General features: G+C 43.7%; 1 protein-coding gene across 1 annotated transcript, besides 10 other annotated features; it reads left to right on the plus strand.

The window, feature by feature from the left end:
• Positions 4,384-4,473: a silencer, noted in NCBI's record as "silent region_3259". NCBI's record gives its function as "represses an Ori minimal core promoter by ATAC-STARR-seq in GM12878 lymphoblastoid cells {active_cell/tissue: GM12878}" and the evidence as "EXISTENCE:reporter gene assay evidence [ECO:0000049][PMID:35858748]".
• Positions 4,504-4,833: a silencer, noted in NCBI's record as "silent region_3260". NCBI's record gives its function as "represses an Ori minimal core promoter by ATAC-STARR-seq in GM12878 lymphoblastoid cells {active_cell/tissue: GM12878}" and the evidence as "EXISTENCE:reporter gene assay evidence [ECO:0000049][PMID:35858748]".
• Positions 4,655-4,816: a silencer, noted in NCBI's record as "fragment chr11:35639867-35640028 (GRCh37/hg19 assembly coordinates)". NCBI's record gives its function as "represses an EF-1alpha promoter that drives an FKBP-Casp9 reporter gene in an ReSE screen in K562 erythroleukemia cells {active_cell/tissue: K562}" and the evidence as "EXISTENCE:reporter gene assay evidence [ECO:0000049][PMID:32094911]".
• Positions 4,796-7,201, plus strand: FJX1 (four-jointed box kinase 1). Its single transcript, NM_014344.4, has one exon. The coding sequence runs from the start codon at positions 4,973-4,975 to the stop codon at positions 6,284-6,286; it is 1,314 nt and encodes a 437-aa protein (NP_055159.2). The 5' UTR covers positions 4,796-4,972; the 3' UTR covers positions 6,287-7,201.
• Positions 4,914-4,983: a silencer, noted in NCBI's record as "silent region_3261". NCBI's record gives its function as "represses an Ori minimal core promoter by ATAC-STARR-seq in GM12878 lymphoblastoid cells {active_cell/tissue: GM12878}" and the evidence as "EXISTENCE:reporter gene assay evidence [ECO:0000049][PMID:35858748]".
• Positions 5,004-5,263: a silencer, noted in NCBI's record as "silent region_3262". NCBI's record gives its function as "represses an Ori minimal core promoter by ATAC-STARR-seq in GM12878 lymphoblastoid cells {active_cell/tissue: GM12878}" and the evidence as "EXISTENCE:reporter gene assay evidence [ECO:0000049][PMID:35858748]".
• Positions 5,004-5,750: a biological region, named in NCBI's record as "H3K27ac-H3K4me1 hESC enhancer GRCh37_chr11:35640328-35640962".
• Positions 5,116-5,750: an enhancer, noted in NCBI's record as "H3K27ac-H3K4me1 hESC enhancer chr11:35640328-35640962 (GRCh37/hg19 assembly coordinates)". NCBI's record gives its function as "activates a minimal SCP1, AML or CMV promoter by ChIP-STARR-seq in naive H9 embryonic stem cells {active_cell/tissue: H9 hESC(naive)}" and the evidence as "EXISTENCE:reporter gene assay evidence [ECO:0000049][PMID:30033119]".
• Positions 5,274-5,543: a silencer, noted in NCBI's record as "silent region_3263". NCBI's record gives its function as "represses an Ori minimal core promoter by ATAC-STARR-seq in GM12878 lymphoblastoid cells {active_cell/tissue: GM12878}" and the evidence as "EXISTENCE:reporter gene assay evidence [ECO:0000049][PMID:35858748]".
• Positions 5,751-6,385: an enhancer, noted in NCBI's record as "H3K27ac-H3K4me1 hESC enhancer chr11:35640963-35641597 (GRCh37/hg19 assembly coordinates)". NCBI's record gives its function as "activates a minimal SCP1, AML or CMV promoter by ChIP-STARR-seq in naive H9 embryonic stem cells {active_cell/tissue: H9 hESC(naive)}" and the evidence as "EXISTENCE:reporter gene assay evidence [ECO:0000049][PMID:30033119]".
• Positions 15,740-16,939: an enhancer, noted in NCBI's record as "BRD4-independent group 4 enhancer chr11:35650952-35652151 (GRCh37/hg19 assembly coordinates)". NCBI's record gives its function as "activates an origin of replication core promoter dependent on BRD2, P300/CBP, MED14 and CDK7 cofactors, and independent of BRD4, by STARR-seq in HCT116 cells {active_cell/tissue: HCT116}" and the evidence as "EXISTENCE:reporter gene assay evidence [ECO:0000049][PMID:35650434]".

Raw genomic sequence — 27,670 nt, forward strand, 5'->3', positions numbered from 1 at the left:
CTTTTATAAGGACACTAATCTCATTTATGAGGGCTCTACCCTCATGATTTGATCACCTCCCAAAGGCCCTACCTCCTAATGCCACCATATTGGGAGTTATGATCTCAACATATTAATTTATGGTGCAAGGAGGAACACAAACATTCAGTCCGTAACAGAGATACATACATAATAAAATTATAGCCCAGGGGGTTAGAAAACTCCCCAGGGTCAAAGAGTAGTGGCCAATGTAGGAGTCATACCACTTCCATGGAATATTATACTCATCTCTGACATCTTTTGTCCCCTCTCTTCCTTTTTGTAGAAGCACGTGGAAGGGTACATTTGGACGCCTCTGTCTTTTCCAGGGGCTTATAACTCAGGAGATCCAGAAAAGGTCAGGATTGAAGGAGGCAGACTAGTGAGAGGAAGCCAGAAGCTGTCTGCCCGAGGCTGGCTGGAGGCTCTGGGCATTTAACAAGAGTTACACTGGGAACCTTGGTAGAAGCCAGGTGGTCCAGCTCCATGGGGAAGAAATATTGCAAAATTATCAGGAAAGACACCATTTCAGGCATAAAGCAGGTGCATTGAGCTGGAACACCACTTGTATTAGGTCTCTCAAGACCAAGTGAGACTTGGTGGAGGACAGCAACAAGAGAAGGAAGACATCCCCATCTGAGCACTGAAACAGTGAAATAGAAAGGAAATAGAAAGGAAAAAGAACAACAACAGCTATACTATAGTGAACACTTAGATGCTCTTTTAAGCACTTTAAATATAAGCACTAATTTAATCATCACAATAATCTATAAGATTTGTTCCTATTACTAGTAATCATGAGATATTGTATATTGTTATAATTTTTGTTAGTAATACTAGTAATACTGTTCTTATTGCATTTTACAGATATATACACTGAGGCACAAAGGGGTTAAGTAACTTACCCGAAGTCACATGCCTGGTAAGTGGCAGGACTGGGTTTTAATGAGACAATCTGGCTTGACAGTTCACACTCTTAACCATTTCACTTGGGAACAAACCCCAGAGAACACATGAAACCAAAATTTCATCTCAGTTGAATCTATTTTGATTTAATGTAATAATTTCTGCACCTGACATTTCCCTAGCAGTTTATAATTTACAAAAGGTTTGGTCCCCATCATTTTGGAATCGCAGCCCTGCCACTTCCTTGCTGCATGACCTCATTCCACTGATTGGCTAAGCTTCCACTTCCCCATCTGTAAAGTGGGTATAATAATACTTTTGGGGGGGTTTCATGAGATAAAGCACATGCAGGGTTTAGCTCCACACCGAGCCCATAATAAGAGTTCAATAAGTGTTTGCTGCCACTGATGCTGTGGTTATTATTAATATTTCACTTGAGCTGCATGACAACCCTGTGAGTTAGGAAGGATTTATTAACTTATTTCTCAGGTTCTGAAACTGAAACTCACAGAAAGTAAATAACTAGAACAAGGAACAAGCCAGAAAGTGCTAATGCCAGACTTGGAAAATATTCCAATTCCAAGCCTCCTCCCCTGCTTCCAACCCTCAACTCCACCTCCTCTCTTTCCCCCAGGAGGCACCATTACATGAACCAGATCATTCTTCAAACAGGACTGTGGAAAAGTTTGAAGATATTGGAAGTTCAGGCTCAGGGATAAATTCTAAGGAGTATTAAGAAAGTCATAAAAGTGCAAATGGATTTCTCATCCCCAAGCAACTGCCAGAGGGCAGAAGTGACTGAGGTGATTAACTATGCTACCCCACAGAGCCAAAGTGGTTTGGCCACAGGTGGCAGGGGAGTGTCCTCAGTCCAGAAAATAAAGGAGAATGGGAGTATTTTCATCTAACAGCTAAACAGAGGCATGTTTTTAAACCCTGTCTCAAATAATCAAATACCATTCCAAAACTGCATTCCACTTTGAGGAAGGGGCAGTGTTTGTTCCTTTGGTTTTCTGTATTTCTGCATTTCAATTAATTTGTTAAAGTTTAACAAATTAATGCATCCTGTTCTGGTACATGATGCATTCAGTCCTATGGCTATAGGCAAAGGGCTGCTCAATGATAAAATTAGTCCATCTTATGAGGTGTACGATCTTAGTCAATTTATTTAAGTCTGGGTTTTTTTCATCAGTACCAGCAATATGGTTAGGAGATTCCAGGATTTCTAGTCTCTGGATTTGAAGCCAGCCCTCCCAGAATTAAAATCATGTGCTTCCCCTCACATCTATCATGCAAAACCCTCACCAATATTTTTTCTTTTTCAAATGAGTGGAAGTTCTTATTTTGTATTCTTTAATCAGCTGAACAATAACTCACAACCGTTGGACAAAATTGTTTTGCATTATTTAGTAGTAAGGTATTTAATTTAAAAAAACTTGATACATGCTACTTGCATCTCATTAGCATTCTAACGATGTATTCAGCAAATTGTTGTTGAACACACACTAAGTGCCAGGCATTGTGCCCAGGCAGCCATAAAACAATGGACAAGACAGACTCCCCAGGAAGTTTACAATGGTAGTTACTTACAGCTTTTGTTAGCAGCCAAAAAGACAGAGACCCCAACTACTTTGGATTTCTCCATATCCCCTAGGACATAGCTTGGTACACAGTAGACATTTAATAGTCTTCCGAATTTAACTTCAACAATTAATCATCCAGTTAAAAATGTCTACTTTTCTCCAATTAGATGATACTCTACTTATGCCCACTAGGTGGCGATCTTGCTTATAGTTTGCCCACGCTGAAAGAGGCTGCCTTTCAAATAAATACATATATATCCCAGTAGAAGTTAAACCAAAAGACAAAAAAATTAAATTTATTGAGTGCTTATTTAGTGTAATATACTATGTTAGGTGGTATAAGAAATAAAAAAATAAGACATAGTCCCTGCCTGCTAGGGAAAGATGAGGAGGGGCTTACATAGGCCAAAAAAATAAGACCTTTGAATGGATTAATATATTTCGATGCAACCATATGGGAGCCATAGTAATCTCATTATCAGATAAGAGTTATAAAATGGCATGGTATAGCCACCATGTGGTTGGGAACAGATTCAACAGTTCATCCAGTATGTACTTAACCACACCAGTGAAAACACTTGACTGTATCCTGGGTCAGTGCTGCAATACTCCAAATGTGGTTTTTTGATGCCTCTGCTCAGCCATAAACATAAGAGTGTCTGCTTTATCACCCTGGAACGCTCTATCACCCTAGAACGTTTTTTCTTTGGAGAATAAAACATAATCAGTGCCAACTGATGAGGTAGTCCAGTTGAAAACCCCCATGTGCACCTGATGGGAAGATGAAAGGAGAGAAAAGATACACACCATGTAAGGAAACAGATTTCAAACTCTGGCCTTTGAGAGGTGGATTCCACCATGCCCCTGATCTTGTGTCTACCCTGGGAATCTCAGTGTGGATCTGGGACTCATTCTGATACAGAGAGGTAAGGGAGGGCCGACTGGCATCCAAGTTTTCCTGGTAAATGTAACCCAGAGGTGGCTGGAAGATGTGTTGGGGTGAAGAGGTTGTTCATTTTGTTTTCTTTGCTCCTTCACCACCTCCCTCCCCCACCACCACCACCATTTCTTTTTCCCTTAAATCGTAAAAGCAGTAAATCAAATGCAGTATGGGATTGAGGTTTTTTTCCTTTCCATTTGAAAAATCCTTTTAATTGAAAAATCACATTTGGGGAACAAAGTGGTCAAATGACAGTGAATTTCAAACTTGAGAATGCTGACTTGATTAAAAAAAAAATACTGATCTTTCTTAATGGAGGGAAAATCAAGTGCATGCGGCCAGGAGACCTGAGTTTGACTTTTAGCTTCGCCCCTTGCTAATTGTGCAATCCTGAGCAACACCCATCCCTTCTCTGTGCCTCAGTTTCCTCATGGACAAAACGGTATCATTTCTTTCGAAAAGTCGTCCCTGACTCCCCTCTCCCCAACACGAGGTTGGATGGCTATAATCTCTCTTAGCAACCTGAGAGTCCCACTGGAATGTAAATTTCAGCAGCACTGGGACCCGGATCTGTGGATTTTGCTTCTGGTAAGCAGAACCAGAACTGAGGGGCAGTCGCTGTGTTGAATGGATGCATGAATGAATGGGAGATGGCCTAGGTGTTCAAGGGGCACGTGCACAGCGAGGCTTCATTCCCTGGGAGTCCGTTGGGAAAGGCAGAGCGGCCAATACTGATTGGTGCTGATGTGCGAGCTCGGAAAAGGGAGTGTCGGTTCAAAGTTGTTGGCTACAGCGGGTTCCTCTTTCCGCTGGAATCACATCCTCTGTGGCTCGGAGACATTCCCAGAGATTTACATAAAGCAGCGTGAATCACCCAGACAGAAACTGAGAAAGCAAAGGGACCCTGCCTGATCCTAGCCTGGCGGAGCTCGGAAAGAGGTGGAAATCTGTCTGAAGTTTGCAGGAGACCCGCGCTGCCTAGGCAAAGGGACCCGGCGACCAAGACACCCCCGCGAGGGCCCAGGGCGCGTCCCTCCCGCCAGGCCCCAGACTCCGGCTCTGCGCCACCCCCTCCTACGCCCCGGCGCGGGCGCAGCCAGTCCGGCTTCCTCCAGGCCCCCAAGTCCCGGACCGAGTGTGGGGCCGCCTCTCCCTCTCGGAAGGAGCCATCGCCGCTTTAAGTGGAAGAGGAGAGGAAGGGGGCGGGGGAGCGGGGGGCGGGGAGCGGAGGCGGAGGAGGGGGAGGGGGATCCCCCTGGCTCCCACGTGGTCCGGGCGCCTGTGAATCGCGCCCACCGGAGGGTCTCACAGCGAAATACAAAAGCAGCTGGGAAGCGGCGGGGACTCGAGTTCCCAGCGCCGGGCGGAGCGCCGGACAGAGCCCCGCAGCGCCCCGCGGCCGCGATGGGGCCGAAGCGCCCGAAGCCCCGGAGCCCACAAACTGCCGGGCCCGCCTCGCCGCCGGGACCCGGGTGCCTGGGCTCGGCTTGAAGCGGCGGCGGCGCACCGGCACAGCCGCGGGAGCATGGGCAGGAGGATGCGGGGCGCCGCCGCCACCGCGGGGCTCTGGCTGCTGGCGCTGGGCTCGCTGCTGGCGCTGTGGGGAGGGCTCCTGCCGCCGCGGACCGAGCTGCCCGCCTCCCGGCCGCCCGAAGACCGACTCCCACGGCGCCCGGCCCGGAGCGGCGGCCCCGCGCCCGCGCCTCGCTTCCCTCTGCCCCCGCCCCTGGCGTGGGACGCCCGCGGCGGCTCCCTGAAAACTTTCCGGGCGCTGCTCACCCTGGCGGCCGGCGCGGACGGCCCGCCCCGGCAGTCCCGGAGCGAGCCCAGGTGGCACGTGTCAGCCAGGCAGCCCCGGCCGGAGGAGAGCGCCGCGGTGCACGGGGGCGTCTTCTGGAGCCGCGGCCTGGAGGAGCAGGTGCCCCCGGGCTTTTCGGAGGCCCAGGCGGCGGCGTGGCTGGAGGCGGCTCGCGGCGCCCGGATGGTGGCCCTGGAGCGCGGGGGTTGCGGGCGCAGCTCCAACCGACTGGCCCGTTTTGCCGACGGCACCCGCGCCTGCGTGCGCTACGGCATCAACCCGGAGCAGATTCAGGGCGAGGCCCTGTCTTACTATCTGGCGCGCCTGCTGGGCCTCCAGCGCCACGTGCCGCCGCTGGCACTGGCTCGGGTGGAGGCTCGGGGCGCGCAGTGGGCGCAGGTGCAGGAGGAGCTGCGCGCTGCGCACTGGACCGAGGGCAGCGTGGTGAGCCTGACACGCTGGCTGCCCAACCTCACGGACGTGGTGGTGCCCGCGCCCTGGCGCTCGGAGGACGGCCGTCTGCGCCCCCTCCGGGATGCCGGGGGTGAGCTGGCCAACCTCAGCCAGGCGGAGCTGGTGGACCTAGTACAATGGACCGACTTAATCCTTTTCGACTACCTGACGGCCAACTTCGACCGGCTCGTAAGCAACCTCTTCAGCCTGCAGTGGGACCCGCGCGTCATGCAGCGTGCCACCAGCAACCTGCACCGCGGTCCGGGCGGGGCGCTGGTCTTTCTGGACAATGAGGCGGGCTTGGTGCACGGCTACCGGGTAGCAGGCATGTGGGACAAGTATAACGAGCCGCTGTTGCAGTCAGTGTGCGTGTTCCGCGAGCGGACCGCGCGGCGCGTCCTGGAGCTGCACCGCGGACAGGACGCCGCGGCCCGGCTGCTGCGCCTCTACCGGCGCCACGAGCCTCGCTTCCCCGAGCTGGCCGCCCTTGCAGACCCCCACGCTCAGCTGCTACAGCGCCGCCTCGACTTCCTCGCCAAGCACATTTTGCACTGTAAGGCCAAGTACGGCCGCCGGTCTGGGACTTAGTGTCACCGGGAGGAAAAGAGAGAGATCTGGGGCTGGGGTATGGATGATGGGGGGAAGGGCGGTCGCCTCTGCCACTGTCAGGGACCAGCCGGCCAACGCCCACCCGCAAAGGTGTCTAAAAACTTCAGCTTTTCACCCACCTGCCCCTTTCTTTCAATCCCACGCTGTTTCCTTTCAAAGTTCTGGGAGGACGAACTCACCGAGGCGAGAAGTGTAACATTCTCTCCACCCAGCTTATAAAAGGATTCTTTACTGTGCCAGCACGGGGATTGGATCCGAAGAAACTGGCTACTGGGGTTTGGCCCCCGAGTGGCCGTCCCTGTGGGAGATGCACCCCATTCTTGGGCCCCCCCTCATTCCCTTTCCGAAAAAGGAAAACTTGCGTTTGAGCCGTTGAGCTAATTCTGCAATTTTCTACCAAACAGAGCGCTGGTGGCCCCGGAGCAGGGCTGTGACATTGGCTGGTGGAGCCCCCTTCCTGTGTTCTCCCTTTGTTCCAGCGCCGCGATGGTGAGATCACTGTTCCAAGCAGGGGGACGGCTCGCGATAGGACAAAGAGAGCAGGACCTCCAGACTCTGGGGAGCCCTGCAGACCTTGACAATTTGCCTGACTCATTCCTGACCTCTTGTCATTTTGGCCTGAAGGCTACAAATTCAGGGTCAGCTGTATGCACTAAGTCAAATAATGAATTTCTTCCTCCCTCTCGCAACCGACCAAAATTTTGACAACGATGATGTTCACCAGAAGGAAAAAAAAAAATCAGTTTTATGCACTTTATTTTGTTTTGATTTTCATTTTTTATTAAGAAAAAATTTTATTTTACAGAATTTACCTTCTCTGTATATATGTGCATAAAGTGTGGTGTAAATATACTAAACAAACTTATATTTCAATAAAAGGGAGTTTAAAATTTATAATTTAATTCCTGTGGTTTTAACTTGTTTGATGTTTCTGATGCCCCATCTGCTTTCAGAATAAGATTTAGGTTTTCTTTCTTGTGGATGTGTTTTTAAAACAAAGGATGCATATCCATTCCAGTTGTGACTACGGAACTTACAGAATTGAACAAAGATAAGAGCAGACTCCCTGTCCTCACTCAGATGAACCTTGGTGCTGGAAATTTGAGTTTAGCCTAAAATGTGGGGGAAGATGGGGAGAGAGATGGGAGGAAAGTGTTCTATTTCCTGGCAAATAAAACTTCGATGTGAAAGGATTTCACTGTAGTATATTCCTATATTAATCATTTGGCAAATATGATAGAATCAGATGTGGGGACTAAAATATGACAAACACCCCCTTTTTAAACTTAACTACCGTGATCACATGTTGCAAATTATTATCAGCGTTGTAATTACAGTGCATCACAATGTGTACAGATGATAAGCTGAGCCCACATTGGGAGCAGGTAGAGAAAGTCATAAATTAATTCTTCTCTTAAATCTCCTGGCATAAATTCCAATGGATTCAGAAGATCATAATCTCCAACATCTGGAGTCATCCAGTTCTCTGAAGAGGTTGTACTGTTTTCTGGGTACTAAGTGCATGGTCCCCTCAGAGCAGCCAGCGTGAGACCATGAAGGCGTACAGTGCTTTGTGTATGACATTTGGACCCTTTCTAGGACTTCAAACAAATTATTTTTGGATTTTTATCTCAAGAGGAAGAGCTTGATTTGTATTTTACGGCCCTTGGTGTTTTATTTTGGCATTTTCTTTGGTATCTGGGCCCAAGTGATCTTGCCTGTTACCTTCTTTTTATTTAATGACCTTTAACTCAAATCAACTTTTGGTTGCAACTTTAATAGTTTTTTATTTGACTTGCATTTGTAAACCTAGGGTTTTATAGACTCAGGAAGCTATTAAATCTCTGGGGGTTCCCCTTCTCACTCTGCATTACAACATAGTGTGTAATTTAACTATTTAATGTCATCCTTATGTTTTCAGTGCCTTTTGCTAAGCCAAATCTTATCTCAGCCTTAAAAAAAAAATAGTCCATAAACTCTCTGTGGTGTAAGTCAAGTGTTTGCACAGTACAGCCATAGAATGTACTGATAATCGGAAATTTATCTTTTTTCAAGACATTGTTAATGGGATACCTCTCATAATTACACCTTTCAGAAAGAAACATTTTCCATTTCTGGTGATTATTTCACTATTAGATTTGCTGCTTTAGTTAATGGAGGCTGTTCCAAGAACAGGACAAGTATTCAGCAACCTGCATTTTTACCCAACATATTCATGGAGGAAAACAATGAGCAGTAATAAGTTAGAAGTTTCACAGATTGCACAGGAAATACATCCTGGATCCCATGAAGATTCAGCACTGGTGAGTTCTGGGCCAGCAGCATTCTCTACATTCTTTCTAAACTTCAGTTCCAAGCCCAGACTTGATCGTGGTTAACCCAGAGCAAAACACTGAGCATAATTTAAATGGCTCTTCTCAGATTCTTTAGTGAACCGTGTCTGCTTGTTCGAGAAATAAGTTTAATTACATGGTGGAGTTGTTAATGGAACCAAGACTTAATTACAGAATGGGTTTTAACTGTTGCTGTTCCTCATAGATAGTAGGTAGGCTGTGGCATGGAAAGATCAATTAAAGTTTCGCCATGGTCAGTGAATGCTGCTATGGACAAATCATTTCTCAAATGAACAACAACAACAACAAAAAAAAAAAACTTTCAGACCACAGCATGATTTGCAAAGAGTAATGGGTTCTACAGGCAGACAATATTCTGAATTCTGTTCCTTACCTACCTTCAGCAAGTCATTTAACTTAGTTCCCTCATCTGTGAAATGGAGATTTGATCAGAATATTGTGGGATTTAAATGTTAACATATAAAGCATACAAGCACATACAGGTGCTTCCAAAAATAAAAACAAAAAACCTCACTTCTTATTCCTCTTTAAAAAAAAAAAACAAAAAAAAAAACAACTTTTGCCCTTCTTACGTTCAGTAATTTCCATCATCAAAGTCAAATCTGGCTGTTTCCAAGGTCAGTGTCAGTTTTAAACATGTGATAGTAAATTGGTTCAATAAATTGTTTACTAAGGACCCTCTTCTAGCGCTATGCAAGGCACTGGTTCATAAGGCCAAGGGCACAGGTCCACATGGGTTTGAGTGGGTGATTTCAGGACCCAAGCAAACTTCAGCACCAAGGCAGCTATACTACAAATATATGAGGGTGGCTTAAATTAAAAAAAAAAAAAAAAAGCAGATGGCTTATTGCAAATCCATCACCACTTCTGGAAAGCTTCAAGAAGTGATGAATCTGCAAGGACAACCCTCTTCCCTATTCTTTCTGCCAAGTGACAGTAGGCAGTTGCCCTTTCTCCCTGGATTTGACTTTTGATTAATTCGCTTTGTCAGTGACATAGTTCTAAACTCTATTAAGTGTACTCACCCTCCTGTCTTCGAATCAGAAAGAAAAACAAATTATTTTAACACATCTCAATGTTTCTCAACCTTCTGCCTACAACTGCAGCTAGGAGAGTCCTCTAAGACCTTGAGGTTGATTATGTGGATTAAATGAGTAAATATTTATAATATCGTCAGAATAGTGCCTGGCACACAGCAAATGCAATATAAGAGTTTATTGGTGAGGTAGAACATTTCTCCTCTAACTCAAAAACAGAGGCACCTTAAGTTCCAGACATGATCCTCTTTCATAATCCTGTTCTATCTCTGCAGTTATAGAACAGAATCTACATGCTTCTGTTTTGACCCAGGAAAATCAGCTAGAGTGCTTGAGTCTGGCAGGAATTACCCAGAGCCCACAGCTGTCAGCTAGCTGTCTTGTTTCTGAGCATGCCCTCTAAGTGAGTGGTCATATGTACTTCCCTCTTTTTCACAAGGAGGCTGTAATTCTATTCCTCATGTGGCCCATCAGCTCCAGGGAGCAGTGAGCTGTGGAACTCCAAATCTTCTGAGCTACCATGAGCTATCCGTGAGTCATGGACCATGCAAGCCTAAGCGCTGATATTTTGCCCCTGCGCACACCAGCCCGCATCACACAAGATCGCTGATCCCAAGTGGTAGAAGGGCCGTGGGAGTGCTAGAGATGGAGAAAAGGGAATTCAGAGCATAGGAAATGCTCCAAAAGAGAATAGAATGTCAGCTGCCAAGGCAGTACGGAAATCAAAGGACAAGGGTTGACATCCGCCTTCAAGCATATTTTAGGCATTAGAGTCTAATGGAAAGGATACTGAGAGACAGGAGACCTGGGCTACTTCTGATACACTGTCTGATTTGAGAAAATCATTTCCCCCTCTGGCTTCAGTTATCTTGCCTGCAATGGGAAGATATTTGATTAGGCTGATAATTTCTAATATTTGGACCAGAACTCACAGTAAGACACATATATTTTATATTGTGACCTCAGTTAGACAGAGAGACACACATACCACTGAAACAAAAATTTCACAAAACAGTATGTATAACATACTTTTTCTCTTTCATTCAATGTTATTCTATTCCTTCTCCTCCTTTATTTCCTAACGCTAACTGTGGCCCTCTAAATTGATTTTGTAACTCATCGGTGGGGCACAGGCTGCACTATGCAAAACACTGGATTAGATCATCAATAAGCTCCCTTTCAGCTCTAAGATTCTAGGGAAATTCCATTTATAACCAGATTACTACCTACTACAATATTTCCCCAAAGGCAATACAAACAGACTTCAATTTTGTACATTCTTTAAAAACAAAAGACTGTAGTGCTTTATTTCAAAATGTCATTGGGAGAACTGCTCAAAATCTTACATAGGGTCTTTCTATAAATACTTGAAAAATTCCCTAAATATGGGAGGTGACTTTCAGTCTGTTCAAACCATGCATGAGCAGATAGTGCTTTGAAGCAAAAATAATAATAATAATCTTTTGCATCTCTGTCTCAATATGGCCCAAGGATGACTCAAGAGGACAGTTTCTCTTCTATGTATTCATAAAGATCAGATGTAGGAATCATAATTTTTTAATGTTACTGTTTTACCAGTTTCTCTTTCTGTGTCCTGCTGTGGGGGAAACTGCATTAATAAACTATGTCTTAATGCTGCCTAACTAGAATTTTTTTTCTCTGCAGGACACCACTAAATATAGCTAAAGGAATGCTTATTGTATTTATCTTTCCAACTTTCTTTCCATTTTGAATATGTCTTCTTGACACTTTGGAAATTTTTCTCCTAATGGCACCTTAGTTTTTTTTTTTTTTTTTAAATAACAGAGAACTAATTGTTCATTGAGTAACAACAACAAAAAAGAACTCCTTTTTTTCTCTTTCATCTGTGCCATATGGTGTCTTTTATGGTTTTATCAGTTATTTTACACCATATGCAGAAAAATGATGTAGAACTGGCATTTTTCCAGTACCAAGTCACAGATTTTACTTTGCTGAGAAATTGTGGGTTAAAAAATAGAGAGGTATCACTTTTAATTAGATAGCCCTACACCATGCATTTGTCTTTGCCTCTTTACACCTTCCTCATAGTGATTTTTTCCTTTTAATGTTCAGTAAAGACTTTGTCCTCACCTCACAACTGGCCTGGAAAGGCAAAGTGACTGGGGAATGATTAGTCATGACCTCTTTTTTTCTTCATTGTGGAAAATATACATAACATGAATTTTTTTTTTTTTTTTTTTGAGATGGAGTCTCGCTCTGTCACCCAGGCTGGAGTACAGTGGCGCGATCTCAGCTCACTGCAACCTCTGCCTCCCAGGTTCAAATGATTCTCCTGCCTCAACCTCCTGAGTAGCTAGGATTACAGGCGTGCACCACCATGCCCGGCAAATTTTTGTATTTTTTTGTACAGACTGGGTTTCACCATGTTGGCCAGGCTGGTCTCGAACTCTTGGCCTCAAGTGATCTGCCGGCCTCAGCCTCCCAAAGTGCTGGGATTACAGGAGTAAGCCACAGTTCCCAGCTCCATTTTGATCATTTTTAAGAGCACTGTTTAGTGTCATTACATATACTCACAGTTTTGTGCAACCACACCATTGTCTATTTCTGAAACTTTTTCATCAATCCCCAGACCCCCTGCCAATAAACCTCTGTAACCATTAAGCAATAACTCCCATTCCTCCCTTCCTCTAGCCTCCGATAACCTCTAATCTACTTTCTGTCTCTATATTATAAGATTGCCTATTCTATATGTCATATAAGTAGAATCACACACTATTTGTCCTTTTGTACCTGGTTTCTTTGACGTACACGGCCATGGTCAGGGAGGCAACATGACAAAAGTGAAGCAATACTGGTTGGGAACTGGCGGAACTGCATTTGAGCCTGATTTTTACTATTTAATAGCCCTGGACCGTAAGACAAACTGATGAACTCCTTATTTCCTTCACTGGAAAAGCAATGGAAAAACTACATAGTCTCTGCAGTCCCTTTCGACTCCAGAAAAATGCCATGTTTTTATGTACAGCAACTACGCAAATGAATTCCATTCCTGACTTCCAGTTTCTTTTCCATACCTGCAGATTCAAAAACTTTTTAGGTTCCTCCTAAAAAGCCGCAGGCTATGTACTAGGCACTGTGGATTCAGTGGTAAGCAAGATAGGTAAGACGCTGCCTCCATGAAGCTTGGAGTGTAACAGCAGAAGGTGGAAAATTATCTAGCAGGAGCTAAACTTGAAAAAATGCAATCTGTGGTAGAGAAAAGTGCTATGGAACCACATGACAGGACTTCAGATGCTCATCTGGAGAGAGGTCAAGAAAGGCTTACGAGTTGGCCTGTGTTTATCTCTGAGTTTTAGGAAAGGTTTGAAGAAAAGGAGGGTACAAAGAGGAATTTTCTTAGTGGTTTTCTGAACAACCTAAAGATGTTCTGCTGACTGTGGTGAGGCATGATCTCTACAGCTTGTCTTGGAGGGTTCAGGGAGCCCTGTGGTAGTGGTTTAAACTTTTCCAGCAGGAATACTATGTACTTTCTGCAATAGGACATCCACTTAAACAGTAATCACCCTGAGATTGGCTGCATAGGGAGAGTACAGTAGGAATTAATATCACAGGGAAATTAGTTCTGTCAATAACATCAATACCTACTTTTTGCTGAATACATACAAACAAACTAGGCTTTGTGTTAGGCATTTTGCAGGATTGTTAGGATAAGCAATGATAGTTATACACCAAATATTTCTTTTACAGATATGAACACTGAGGCTTAAAGGGATTAAGTACACTGCCCACACGTCTGGAAGACATGGGGCTGTGGCTTGAAGATAGGTCTGTCTAGTGCCAAAGAGTGAGCTGTACTCTTCTTCCTCATCTGTTTCCTTTTTACTCTTCTTTTTAATGTTAGTCTTTTTTTGTTTTTGGACAGAGTCTCACTCTGTCATCCAGGCTGGAGTGCAGTGGCGCGATCTCAGCTCACTGCAAGCTCCACCTCCCAGGGTCACGCCGTTCTCTCGCCTCAGCCTCCCGAGTAGCTGGGATTACAGGCACCTGCCACCACCCCCGGCTACTTTTTTTGTATTTTTAGTAGAGATGGGGTTTCACCCTGTTGGCCAGGATGGTCTCGATCTCCTGACCTCGTGATCCGCCCGTCTCAGCCTCCCAAAGTGCTGAGATTACAGGCGTGAGCCACCGTGCCTGGCCAATATTAGTCTTTAATAATTTTTTTTAAGTTTTTTTTTTGTCTTTAATGTCCTGTAATTTCATTATCATGTGTTTATATATGGTTGGGGATCTGTTTGTTGTTTGTTTTGTGGAGAAAACATCTTGTTACGTTGCCCAAGCTGGTCTCAAACTCTTGGGCTCAAGCGATCCTCCCTCCTCAGCCTCCCAAAATGCTGGGATTATAGGCATGAGACATCATGCTGGGACTTCACTGGGATTTTGTTATGGTTGTTTTTTCTGATAGAAACATGCTCTTTCTTAAATCTAAGAATTCCCTTTTATTTCGCAGTCTAGAAAAATTCTCAGTCATCATCTCTTAAATTATTTTCTCTTTCTTATTCTTTCTATTCTCTCCTTTGAGAACTGGTATTGGGCATACGTTATCTTTCTATCCTTCAAGGCCCAACCCCTCTCACATATTTTCCACCTTTCTGTGTTGCTCTCTGGGTACTCAGAGCTGTCTTTTCGCCTATTAGTTTTCTCTCTGATAGTGTGTAAATTGCTGCTTAATCCATCCCTAAGAATTTGTTTTGTCTGTCTCTTTAAATTCAATGACTTTATTTTCATATTTTCAAAAGTCCCATTTGGTTCTTTTTCAAGAATTGCCAAACATTTGAAAAAGATTTTCTCTTCTCATATAGTCAAGACTTTCTTTATTGTATTCGATCATTTAAAAGTATACAATCTGAGTACTCTATCTGAAGTTCTGGGGTGCTCTCATCCTACACCCCAGACTTTTGTGCATCTCCTGACTTTTGCACATTTAGGACTGCCAAATATGCGAAACCCAATCAACTTTAAATTTCATATATCCAGTGAACAATTTTTTAGTATGTACATATTTTAGTATGCATGTAATATCTGGAATATGCTTATATTAAAAATTATTTATTATTTATTTGAAACTCAAAGTTAACTAGGTGTCCTGTTATGTCTTGTTTTTTGTTTTGTTTTCCTAAATCCGGTGACTTGACACACAGAAGCTTTCTATTTTGTAATTTGAGATTGTAAACTCATGTTCAAGCAGGATTTTATCTGTGAGACTCTCATTTTGTTTGGGTTGAACATATATCTTTCCCAAGATGTTTTCATTTCCTTGTATCAGACACCCCAGGGTTAAAGCCAGACTGGCTCACTTTTATATTAATCATTTTAAAGTGTAAATTTAAATAACAAACATATGACAACCAGAGGAATCCTCCCAGAGACTTTCATTTTTTTCCCAACCAGAGTTCAAGCTAAGACAAGCAATCTCCTCTCACATCTTCCTTTGCTGGAAGGATGAAGTTTTCCTTTGACAGTCCTGGCTTTATGAAGGGTCTTTGAAAGATCCAACTTTCCCTCCCACTGGAGCGCATTAAACCCAATCTGATTACAAAGACCAGACACACACATACACAAAACCAGGGCAGCCCCAGTTTCAGTTCACACCTATCACTCTGCTTTTGGTTCTCTCTTTGTTTTAGACCCTTGGAGATTTTCCTTACATTTTTATGAGCTCAGCTATGCATTTTAAAAGATGTTTGTTATATTTTATAAAACATTTATAGGTGTTTTACAGAGGGAAGGATTTTAGGTCATGTAGTTTGCCTTATTGCTAGAAACAAAGTCCACCTGAGCTCCTTCTAAACCCTGTTATCAAATCCTGCTTGCAATAAGCTGGCCCTTACTTGAGGATTAGATGCCCTATTTGGTTATTCAGAGAGATTTCCCCACAATGGAGACATTTACTTTAATAGGATTTGACCTGAAATAATCCATAAAACAAGTTGTTGTTTGTTATTGACCTGGGAGTCAATAACAAATTCTGTTCTGTTTGCCACCAGCAAGTTTGAGATATATGCCAGGAAAATGATTAAAAGGAAAGACAAAAGGAAAAGATTGGGAACAAGGGAAAAGGGGAAGGAACGTTAAAAAGAATCACATGTGGTAGAGTGGCAAAGAAGCAGCCTTTGCCTCTGGTACAGATAGCCCTCACGTTGACCTTCAATCAGCATCAGAGCCAGCAAAATGATGCCACATTGCAGGGGAAAGAGCTAGTGCCTCTGCAGGTTACATTTAGGATTAAAGAAAGGTCAAGTTACTCCAGGGAAAATTACTTTTCATTTGCAGTCAGCATCCTGCCTGTGCTACAGCTCCCAACTATGCGAAGTCCAGCCATCACCACTTGATCTTTGGCCCCTTGACGCTGAAGAGCACATTCTGCCAACCTTTCAAAAAAGAAAGGCTTTGCCATCACACATGAATCTCAACCTTGCCCTTCCAGAGGCAGCACATTCAATTTCATTATTTAGTGAGCCTATCTCTAGTGACCTATTAGCGAAATCAAAAATGCTAATGAAAAAACAGGTTAAGCATCTTTGACTTCTCAAGGCATTGAGCTAATAAAAGATGCCCAGAAAACATTGCTGTGTGGCTCCCTTCTCCTCCACCTGTTTATAATTGGGACCCATCCAAAGTCTCTCTGCAATATAACATTCGTGACCCAACTCCACATAAGTGTCTGTCTTTTCTGATACTATGATGCTGGATGCATGACTCATGCCATAAAAATTATTGTAATGACTCTGGACTTAGCAATTCAGAAGTTGGTGCTCCATGCGAAATCCCTCGTGGGCTGTTTTCAAGTGATTACTCATGGCCCAGGTATGTGCTGCATGTATGAGTATAGTTACGTTGGTTATTAGACTATCGAAATACTTCCAGCTCAGTTGATAAATGTCTACTCTGCGGCCCCAGAGTGACTCTTCCATGTTTCTGAACAATCCCCACTACCATCCCATGATCCTGCAACTAACAGGTTAACACCTGGAGTAGCAGAGAGTTCTTGAACCAGTAACCCGGCACTAAGGCCAACAGTAAGTTCTGACTTCACCTTATGTAATTTGAATAGTATTTCCTGGGTATAAGATGTAAAGGTTCAAATCCATGGAACAACAGAGGTATCATCCTAAGCCCTATCTTTAGTTCTCCTGTTTTAAAGCCTCAATTTACTTGGCAAACAGACACTGAGCATCTGCTCATTGCATTCATGTTTCCTGGCTGCTAACTTTGGGTCAGACACTGTGTTAGGTGGTAGGAACAGGTCAGTTAACTGGAGTGATATGGTTTCTGATCTTCTGTAGTGTAGAGTCTGGTAGAGGAGACAGACATTAAGCAAATTATTACTGTAATAAATGGGATGACAGGAAAATACATGGCCCTATGAGAGTGTTAATAGGGGACAACCTCACATTGGAGGTTGAAGGATCTGGCATTTAAGCAGAGACCAGAGCAATGAGCAGAAGTCAGCCAGCATAGAGGAGAAAAGAAGGAGTGGAGAGCATTTCAATTGGAAGGAATTGCATTTGAGAGCTTGAGAGAAGGAGCTTGCTGTACAGAAATGAAAGGCTGGTATGATTGAAGAGTACTGCCCTAGAAGGGGATTGCATAGTTCGAGGCTGCAGAGGTAAGCAGGCACCTATTAAGTGCCAGGCACAGAGGGCAGGAGATGGATATATCATAATCCTCACCCCTGAGGGAGGCCCTATCTCATAGTGGTAAGGGCTGAATTACAGAGGGGGACTCTCTAGGTTCAAACCCTGGCTCCTCCATTTTCTGGCTCTGAGACCTTAGGCAGGTTACTTATGCTCTCTGACCCTGAGTTTCCTCATCTGAATATAGGAATAATAATAATAATAAGACCTACCTATTTATGAATAACACATGCAAAGTACTTACAACAATGCCCGACACATAGTAAAGACTCAGTAATTATTAGGCATTGACCACTACGACACAAGAAAGAAGTGGAAACACAGATTAAGTGGCTTCTTTTCTACTCATTTCCACCCAGTTCAAAGGTTGTTATGTGGTGATATGGTTTGGCTCTTTGTCCCCACCCAAAGTTCATGTTGAGTTGTGATCCCCAGTGTTGGAGGTGGCCTGGGGGGAGATTATTGGGTCATGGGGGTGGTTTCTAATGATTTAGCACCGTCCCCCCAGTACTCTCTAGTGACAGAGTTCTCACAGGATCTGGTTGTTTAAAAGTGTGCAGCACTTCACCCTTCGCTCTCTCCTGTTTTGCCATGGTAAGATGTGCCGCTTCCCCTTCGCCTCCTGCCATGATTGTTAGTTTCCCAAGACCTCTCAGCCATGCTTCCTGTACAGCCTGTGGAACTGTGAGCCAGTTAAACCTCTTTTCTTTATAAATTGCCCAGTCTCAGGTAGTTCTTTATAGCAGCGTGAGAATGGACTAATACATGTAGTAAAAACATTCTGTGCTTAATAATCCTACTTAAAGGCACCAACGTTGTCTGTGCTATATAGTTCATGAGAAGATTATGTAATGACTCTCCTCCCATGATCCATTCTATCAAAGGCAGTTTCCGGCTGGGCATGGTGGCTCACACCTGTAATCCTGGCACTTTGGAAGTCCTGAGTTTAGATCACATGCCCACTCTTTGGCATGATGAATATGTATGAGAGAACCATGTATGGGAGAACTAGATATAGGACTCAACGACATTAACCACAACTGGGTACTTTTCCAAAGAAAACCAGATGTTCTTGAAGAAATAGATGCTGAGTGACCCTAACCACAACAAATGATCACTCTACCTTCTTAGTCCCCATAGTGGGAAACGTTTTGTGGTCCATTTCTGCAAAGGAGATGATCATGGAAACTAACCCTCATGTCCATAGTGTTTCACAGAATGTGAGGGCAGCATAGATCTGTGAAAACAAACAAACAACAACAACCCAAAGCCTATCAGACTGCAGAAAACAATGACCTCAAAGGAAGAACTGCCTGCCTTTAGCTTGAATAATCCCAGAGTTTACTGAGTTCATGGGCATGCACTTCACATGTGGCATTCTCTGGGGAAAGACTTAAGAACTTAATCTGCCCTTTTCACCTCCAGTTTCTCCCGTTCCTGCCCAGGGTGATTAATGTGATGATGGCTTTGAAGACAGCTCCACAGAATCCCAAGGGATCTATACTCTTGGGATGACATCATAGGGTGATTTGTTTGCTCCCAGGTCCCTGTACATTTCTTTGGGTACCAGCTGAGCACTCAGGAAAGTCTTTTGTAAACCTGTCAGAAATACTGTGGGGCCTTGGTGTGCCTTTTCTTGTTTGGATTTCCTTTTCCTTCTGTCCTGCATTGTGACAAATTTCAGAATGCTGGTTTTATCCTCTTTTGTACTTCCTTTTTATTGTTGTTTATAACAACTCTGTAGACGATGGCTTTGTTTTTTCTGTACTATCTGGATGACCTCCCTTAACAGCAGGTTTCTGTGGCTTTGCTTTTGAGGAATTTGTGAAGAAATTGATTCGGGAAAGAATCAGTAGCAAATCCCTACAGGTCTATGGCAACTGCTTTTTTTTTTTTAAGCCAGGGTCTCACTCCCATCACCCAGGCTGGAGTGCAGTGACATGATCTTGGTTCGCTGCAGCCTCAGCTTTCCAAGCTTAGGTGATCCTCCTACCTCAGCCTCCTGAGTAGCTAGGAATATAGATGGGCACCACCATGTCCAGCTAATTTTTTGTATTTTATTTTAGGTAGAAACAGGGTTTTGCTATGTTGTTCAGACTTGTCTTGAACTCCCGGGCTCAAGTGATCTGCCCAAAGTGCTAGGATTACAGGCGTGAACCACCGTGCCTGGCCTGGATTCTCTCTTTAAAGAAGTTGCTTCTTGGCCAGGCACAGTGGCTCATGCCTGTAATCCCATCACTTTGGGAGGCTAAGGCAGGTGGATCACAAGGTTAGGAGTTAGAGACAGCCTGGCCAATATGGTGAAACCCCATATCTACTAAAAAATACAAAAATTAGCCAGGCGTGGTGGTGCGTGCCTATAGTCCCAGCTACTTGGGAGGCTAAGGCAAGAGAATCGCTTGAATCCGGGAGGCAGAGGTTGCAGTGAGCCAAGATCGTGTCACTGCACTCCAGCCTGGGCAACAGAGTCAGACTCTGTCTAAAAAAAAAAAAAAAAAAGTTGCTTCTTAACTATTTTGTCCAGCTGGAGAGACAGTTGGGGAGTGCCTGCAATCAGAAGTTCTGCAGCTGTCTGGGACCTGTCTATTCCAAGCTACGTACTTCAAACTTCCTTTCAAATCTTAAGTGCCTTCATTCTTGCCATTAAATTCCCATTTTGCTTACGTTTGCCAGAGTATGTTTCTGTTGCTTACGGTTGAAGACCCCTGATTAAAGAAAGCGTTCAAAAAGTAGTAGGAGGGTTGGAAATGATGTCTGGAATGATTGTCCCATGACAACAGTTATTTCACCTAATGCATTGTACAGGGGTGAAGACTGCATGGTCAGGAGAAGAGGAGTATCTGCCTCTTCCCATCTGTTTAACTGGGTAGTAGCCTTTGACCTGACTGGGACCCCTGTTTTCACCCAGCCTTGAAGCTGTGGAAAAGCAGATTCAGTGGTGCAGTGTGTTCTCTTGCACTCAGCAGTATCTTAGTGAATGTTTAACAATTGGCTTTGGGTAGGGGATGGGGACAGGGGTTGATCTGTAATGTTTGCCAATTTCCATGGTGTAAACATTCCCACTGTGGCCAGTTTCAAGCTATAAATGTGATGTCACTGAATGCAGAGTTGGGAAGAGATGCACACATCAACTCTCCTGAGCCAGTATGAGCCACTGCAGCATGCCGCTGCCTCTCTGCCTCTGACTGTGGCAGTTGCACAGGAAAGCTTGTGGTTAATAACAATGGCTAAGATTTATTTAACACTTTACTTTGTGCCACATACTATTCTGGGCACCTTACTACATGTATTATCTGTCGCATGAATTTAATCATGATCTCTTTGATAGATGCAATTCTTGTCTCCATTTTATGGATAAGAAAACTGAAGGCCGGGCGTGGTGGCTCACGCCTGTAATCCCAGCACTTTGGGAGGCCGGGGCGGGTGGATCACGAGGTCAGGAGATCAAGACCATCCTGGCTAACATGGTGAAACCCTGTCTCTACTAAAAACACAAAAAATTAGATGGGCATGCTGGCGGGCAACTGTAGTCCCAGCTACTCGGGAGGCTGAGGCAGGAGAATGGTGTGAACCCAGGAGGCGGAGCTTGCAGTGAGCCGAGATCTCGCCACTGCACTCCAGCCTGGGTGACAAAGCGAGACTCTGTCTCAAAAAAAAAAAAAAGAAAAGAAAAGAAAACTGAAGTACAAAGAAAATTAGAAATTGTTCAAAATTATAAGACTTGGAAGTTGAGGTGCCATGATTTTCATCCCTGGTCATTGTTTCCAGGGGCATCTTGCTTAACGACAACATTGTGCTGAGAGAACAAATCAGATCATGAAAGACTTCTGCCTTCTATAAGGCAAGGTGAGAAGTGGTATCAGGCTCAAACAACCTGGCAGAAATGACAGTGAAAAGGTCCACAGATACACTCAACACAGACGTTTCCTATTTGAGTCTAAACTTTATTTTCTGTACATACATTCTAATTATTTATACCCCATCTACCATCAAAAGGGTAAAAGGTAGCTTGAAATAGTAATATCTTTTTTTTTTTTTTTTTTTTGAGATGGAGTCTTGCTCTGTCGCCCGGGCTGGAGTGCAGTGGCGCAATCTCAGGTCACTGCAACCTCTGCCTCCTGGGTTCAAGCAATTCTTCGGCCTCACCCTCCCAAGTAGCTGGGACTACAGGCACATGCCACTATGCCCAGCTAATTTTTGTATTTTTAGTATAGACGGGGTTTCACTATAGTGGCCAGGCTGTTCTCAAACTGCTGACCTTGTGATCTGCCCCAGCCTCGGCCTCCCAAAGTGCTGGGATTACAGGCATGAGCCACCACACCAGCCTCAAAATAGTAATATCTAACAATTATTGAGTACCTACCATCTACTATTTACATTTTATCTCATCTTCACAACAACCTTTAGAGAGAGGAATTGTTCCTGCCCATTTTGCAGATAAGGAAACTAAAGCTCACTAAAAGTTGATCTACCTCAGCCTACATAGCTAATAAGTGACCAAAGGAAGACAGATTTTTAAAAATCCTCTTTATTTCATTGATGGGGAAACAGGCACAGAGTGGTTAAGCAACTTGCCCCATGTGACGTAGTTAATTAGTGCTGATCCAAACCCCAGTCTATCTGCTACTGAAGCCCATGATATTCACACCATATCCAGTGACTTCTCCCTTTGAGTACATCCCCTTATGATGCAGCCAGAATTGATTTTCCTAGAAAGCCCTGTCTGGGACACTCAGGAAAATGACTCTGCCAAGTGACCATTGAAAAGCCAACTGCAATTCCACAGCTCAGAGGGCTGTCTCGGGACCTCCTGCCACTTGCTCATGACCCACAAAGTCCAACACTTTTCTCTCTGAAAAGCTCACCTCTCTGTGAAGATCACCAACAGGTTAAAAGCAATATCAAAAGAATGGGTTTATTTATCCAATAGTGGTTACTTCTGATCTTCTCCTGTGACTTCCCTATGGAGACTGGGCTGGATGGGGGAGATACCACACCAGAGTGCATGATTCTTCTTGTGTGTGATCTGAGTGGCTTTTGCCGGATGCATACACGACCCAACCTGACTGCCTTGACAGGTGTGATATGAATGAGATGCTCCGGTTATTGGTGATAATGAGACTTTTCAGTGTCTGTCAGTTACGGAACAATTCATGTCATCCAATGAACGGCATCTTCTCAGATAACTTGAGGCAGGGCTGCTGAAACATGGAACACTTTAAGGAAGTCATTGGTGCCGGTTCTGGAAGGGTTAACACACCCCAATGTGCCTGCCTTTGCTCTTCCAGCAGAGAGAGGAGGGGGTGGGCTGGGGGTGGGATGTGTCTCATTCAGACACATATCCATAGCAAAACAGTGGAGAAACAGTTTTAAACCATAATGCTCCCTGTTCTGGCTTGCATACTGATGTCTCTGGGATTACTTTTCCCTGCTCTGGCAATCTGTCACCTATAACTGGGGAGGAAAGGCAGGCATCAGAGAGCCTAAATGATTAAGCGGTGTAGTCTTGTAGACCTGCTGCCTTGCAGGTCCTTGACCTCATTAGGTCACTGATGGTGGGACAGTCCTGCAGAAACACCTGAGAATCTCTGAGGGTACCTCTCATCACCCCTTCTACTGCAAATAATATACACAAAGGACATCCAGCCTCAAAAAATTAAACCTAGAATTATCATAGGACCAGCAATCCCATTTCTGGGTATACACTCAAAAGAATTGAAAGAGGGGAATTAAACAGATATTTGCACACCAGTGCCCATAGCAGCATTATTCACAATACCCGAAAGGTGGAAATAACCCAATTGTCCACCAATGGATGAATGGGTAAACCAAATGTGCTGTATACATACAACCTTAAAATCATTCAGTCTTAAAAACAAATGAGTTTCTGACATATGTTACAATGTGGGTCAACCTTGAAGACCTTATGCTAACTGAAATAAGCCAGACACAAAAAGACAAAATGGTGAGATTCCACTTATATGAGGTACATAGAGTAGTCAAATTCGTAGAGACACAAAGGAAGATGGTGGTTGCTAGGGGAAGAGAAAAATGAGGAGTTATTTTTTAATGGGTACAGAATTTCAGTTGGAATAATAAAACATTTCTATAGATGGATGTTGGTGAAGGTTGTACAATAACGTGAATGTACTTAATGCCACTGAACAGTACACTTAAAAATGGTTAACATGGTAAATTTTGTTATGTATATTTTACTACAATTCAAAAAAAAAAGATACCTAGCACAGTGCATGTAGTCAGAGTACTTACAAATCACAAGGCAAATGAAAGAGAGCTGGGGTATTCATTGCCATAATCTATAAAGTATCCTACAAATGTTAGCTAAATGTGCACACTTGCTTTACCTTACTTATTCTTCAGGGAGGTATCATCAGCTTCTTTTGACAAAAGAGGAAATTGAAGTTCAGAGAAGTAAAGTAAGTTGCCCAGGTTCCATGGCAGTGATAGAGGGAAGATGTAAACTTTGATCTGCCTATCATCAAATACAGTGCAATTTACATACTGCAAAATGCCTTAAAGTGTACCCCCTTTTCAGGGTGTTCACATGCCAGAGAGTCAGAGGAAGACAAATTCATCTGTTCTATGAAACATGGGAGACTTACCCTCAGAATACTTTAGAATTGGCCAAAGTAGAAGAAGTCAACTTGTAATTTATAGAACTAAAGTGTATATCTGCTCTGATAATAGCTAAATAGAGAGAGACCTGGAGAACTTCCCTACTGAAGATCCAACATCTCTCATGTGTGGCTTTGGCTGGCTTTGTAAGAAATAGAATCAGAAAATTCAAAGCATTCTATTTATAATCAAGAGAGCCATGCCTCCATGACGTTGGTAATAACCACACCCCATTGGTAATAACCACACACCACTGGTTATTTTTCTAAACCTACTTGGAATAACTTACTTATCCCTGGCCAGATCTCTCTCTTAGTTTGAAAAAGGTAATGATGTGTTATTCTCGCTATGTTTTTCTCATAGGTTTGAAGATCTTGGGGCTGTGTACTTTTCCCAGGTATTTGTTCCACTCTTAATGTTTATGTTAGCATATACATTATAGTCTAAGCCAGGCCTGGACTACTTCAGCATAGTGGTTCAGATCATGAGCTCTAGGGTCTTACCACCTGAACACAAATCCTGGCCCTACCACCTACTAGTTATATGACCTTGGGCAAGTTACTTCATTTTTCAGTTACTCAGTTTCTTCATCTGTGATATGGGGACAATAATAGCATACACTTCATTGGATTATTGTGAAATGTACCTGCTCTAATAAAACTACCCACCAGGGTGCCTGGTTTAAAATAAACATACAAAGTATATTGGCCATCATTATTAATTTCTTTGAACACATCGATGCATCTTACTTCCCAAATTCTAATGATATGGAAAAGATCTAAGATCACTTATTTTCAGAAGTGCACCCACTACTATTTGAGGAGAGGGAGAGGCAGGAACTGGGAGGTGAGGAAAGCTGGCTTTGAACCAAGTATAAGCATCACACATTCTCCTCTGGTACCAATTACTGTGATAAATTGAAGGTGACAAGTTATTTTATGACATAAATGCAAATCAGCATTCGCTTCACTGTTATTTTCCAATGCCCTGGCACTTTAATGGTCCCCATAAGTTTACTTCACTTGCAGCAAGTATCAGTATGTTCACAGTCAGCCAGAGAATTTATTTTTAGGTGGGGAGTGCAATGAACTGAGCCCACTAGCTGACTTAGAAAAATGATCACATTTCAATCCACAAATTATTCACAAAGCTAGTTAGCATTTGAGCCTTTGTTGGTGAAATAATGCAATAAATAGAGATGTGTCAGAAGGGCTCATTTCCACCTGCCAGACTTGACTCTAAATATTAGGCATTCCACACATTTGTGGGTGCCTGTGTGTTTATTAGAAAAACAAAAACTTATCCCAAAAGGTAAAATTCCCTGCAATGGATAGGAGACCATTTACTCCTCAGAAAACGCCATGGAGAGAAGAGCATGGCTTCCTGTCTGTTGAGCCAGTAAAACTGCTGTACACCTGAAACTAATACCAGCGACTTCAACATGAAAGGAGACAAAAACAAGGAAAAAACCATTTGTTTGCCTTTCAGCACTGAACTTGATTTCTCATTCTGCCAGTTCTACCAACCTGTCATTCCTTCTTTATTGATGTTGATGGGGGGAAGAAAACAAAAAGTTAAAAAATAAAAAAATAAAAAGCAAACAAAACCAAAGAGACTGGCAGCAGTTGTCACTGTAAACAGGCTCTATACCTCTCCACCTGTCATTGTACCATTAACAGACAGTGGAAGCTGTTAAATACACTACCTAATTAATTTAAAATACAACTTCAGACAGACAACCCCTAATTGTTAAAAGCTTTTTATTAGGACATAAAGATAATCATAGAATTAAGTCATTAAGAGTCATAATAAGGAAACTGGTGCTCAAAATGAAACCCGATCCCCAATGTCACCCTTCCTCCATCAAGGAGTTAGCGGCTGCATTCATTCATTTATTTATTCACTAAATATTTAGTGAGTGCCTACCACCCTACCCCTGCCAGTGAGGCGCCAAAAAGAAGGTCTTACATTCTGAAGACAGGTGGCTTCCCCCCGCCCCTCCGCTTCATCCCTAGAATTGCTGTTTGTGTGTGTGACAGAGAGTGTGTGCACATGTGTGTATGGTTTGCATGCTGAGATGCAATCCACGTGCAAGAGCAGGGAAGGCCAAGGGAAAGTGTAGTGAGAAACATTTTTAAGCACATCACAGAATGAGGAGACTTTCTATAAACAACTTTCCTTAGGTGCATTGCATTAAGCATTGCCTCTGACAAGTTGCCACTTAGAGACACAATCTTACCCCCTTCCCCATCCTCCAACTTGAAATCTGACATTGCTTCACATCAAATGTTTAATGTCCCATTGTTTGAAATAAAATGGTATGTAAGGCATGCGTTGCCATGGATGCAAGATCTGACGGTGCATATAGAGCTTTCTGAAGCCGGTAACTTTGGATCTGCCCAGGTAACCAGGTGTTGAATAAGGCAAAGGGAGAACTGACCCTCCCGAAAGAACTTCCAGTGGAAAGTTCCTCCGTTGCAAACAAGCAGTAGAATATTTACCAGCAACGAACTCTTTCTTCTGTCTGCAGAAAATGTGCCTGCTTCAGGCTTTCCTCATCTGCTGTCAAAAAAGTCATTTTCTTGGCCAGGTACAGTGGCTCACACCTGTAATCTCAGCACTTTGGGAGGCCGAGGCGGTTGGATCACGAGGTCAGGAGTTTGAGACCAGCTTGACCAACATGGTGAAACCCAGTCTCTATTAAAAATACAAAAATTAGCCGGGCGTGGTGGAGCATGCCTGTAATCCCAGCTACTCAGGAGGCTGAGGCAGAATTGCTTGAACCCAGGAGGCAGAGCTTGCAGTGAGCCAAGATCATGCCACTGCACTCCAGCCTGGGCAACAGAGCAAGACTCCATCTCAAAAAAAAAAATCATATTATGAGGGAAGGAAGCAAGAAAGCTTCTTTTGTACACAACACTTAAGATGAGGCAATAGCTACTAGCAATGGATGCACATTCAATTCCACTCCTAGGTATATACCCAATAGAAATGTGTCCGTGTCTTCATAAATGTGTCCATATCTTTTGCATGTTTGCGAAAGTTCCATTCTTAATAGCCCTAAACTTGATGTTAAGAATCTGCTTTTTTGTGGCTGCCAGGCCAGATGGTCAGGGGATGCTTCTTTGACTTTTGCTCCTCTAGCTACCTTCCTCAACCCCAGTTGTTGTTTGTTTTGTTTTGTTTGCTTGAGACAGGGTTTCACTCTGTCTCCCAGACTGGAGTACAGTGGTGTGAACACAGCTTATTGCAGCCAGGATCTGCTGGGCTCAGGTGATCCTTCCACCTCAGCCTCCCATGTAGCTAGGACTATAGGTGTGTGCCACCACACCCAGCTAATTTTTAAATTTTTTTTGTAGAGACAGGGTCTTACTATGTTGCCCAGGCTGGTCTCGAACTCCTGGGCTCAACTCCTCCCGTCTTGATCTCTTAAAGTGCTGGGATTACAGACATGAGCCACCATGCCCGGCAAACCCAGTTTTGTTAAACTCAAATTCCCTGTGTTATAAGCCTTCAATCTTGGAACACATTGAGTGGCCTTTGTATTCCTGACTGATCCCTGACAAAGCAGAATAATAGAAAGGCACACACACACAGAGGAGCTACCATTTTGGGGCCTAATGCCCAGACTTTTAACAGAGCTGTGAGGCTGCTGCCAAG

This window comes from Homo sapiens, chromosome 11, assembly GCF_000001405.40.
Source record: "Homo sapiens chromosome 11, GRCh38.p14 Primary Assembly".
Taxonomy (NCBI): Eukaryota; Metazoa; Chordata; class Mammalia; order Primates; family Hominidae; genus Homo; species Homo sapiens.

Coding starts and splice junctions, on each gene's coding strand:
- FJX1 (NM_014344.4), top strand. CDS start 4,973: ATGGGCAGGAGGATGCGGGGCGCCGCCGCCACCGCGGGGCTCTGGCTG.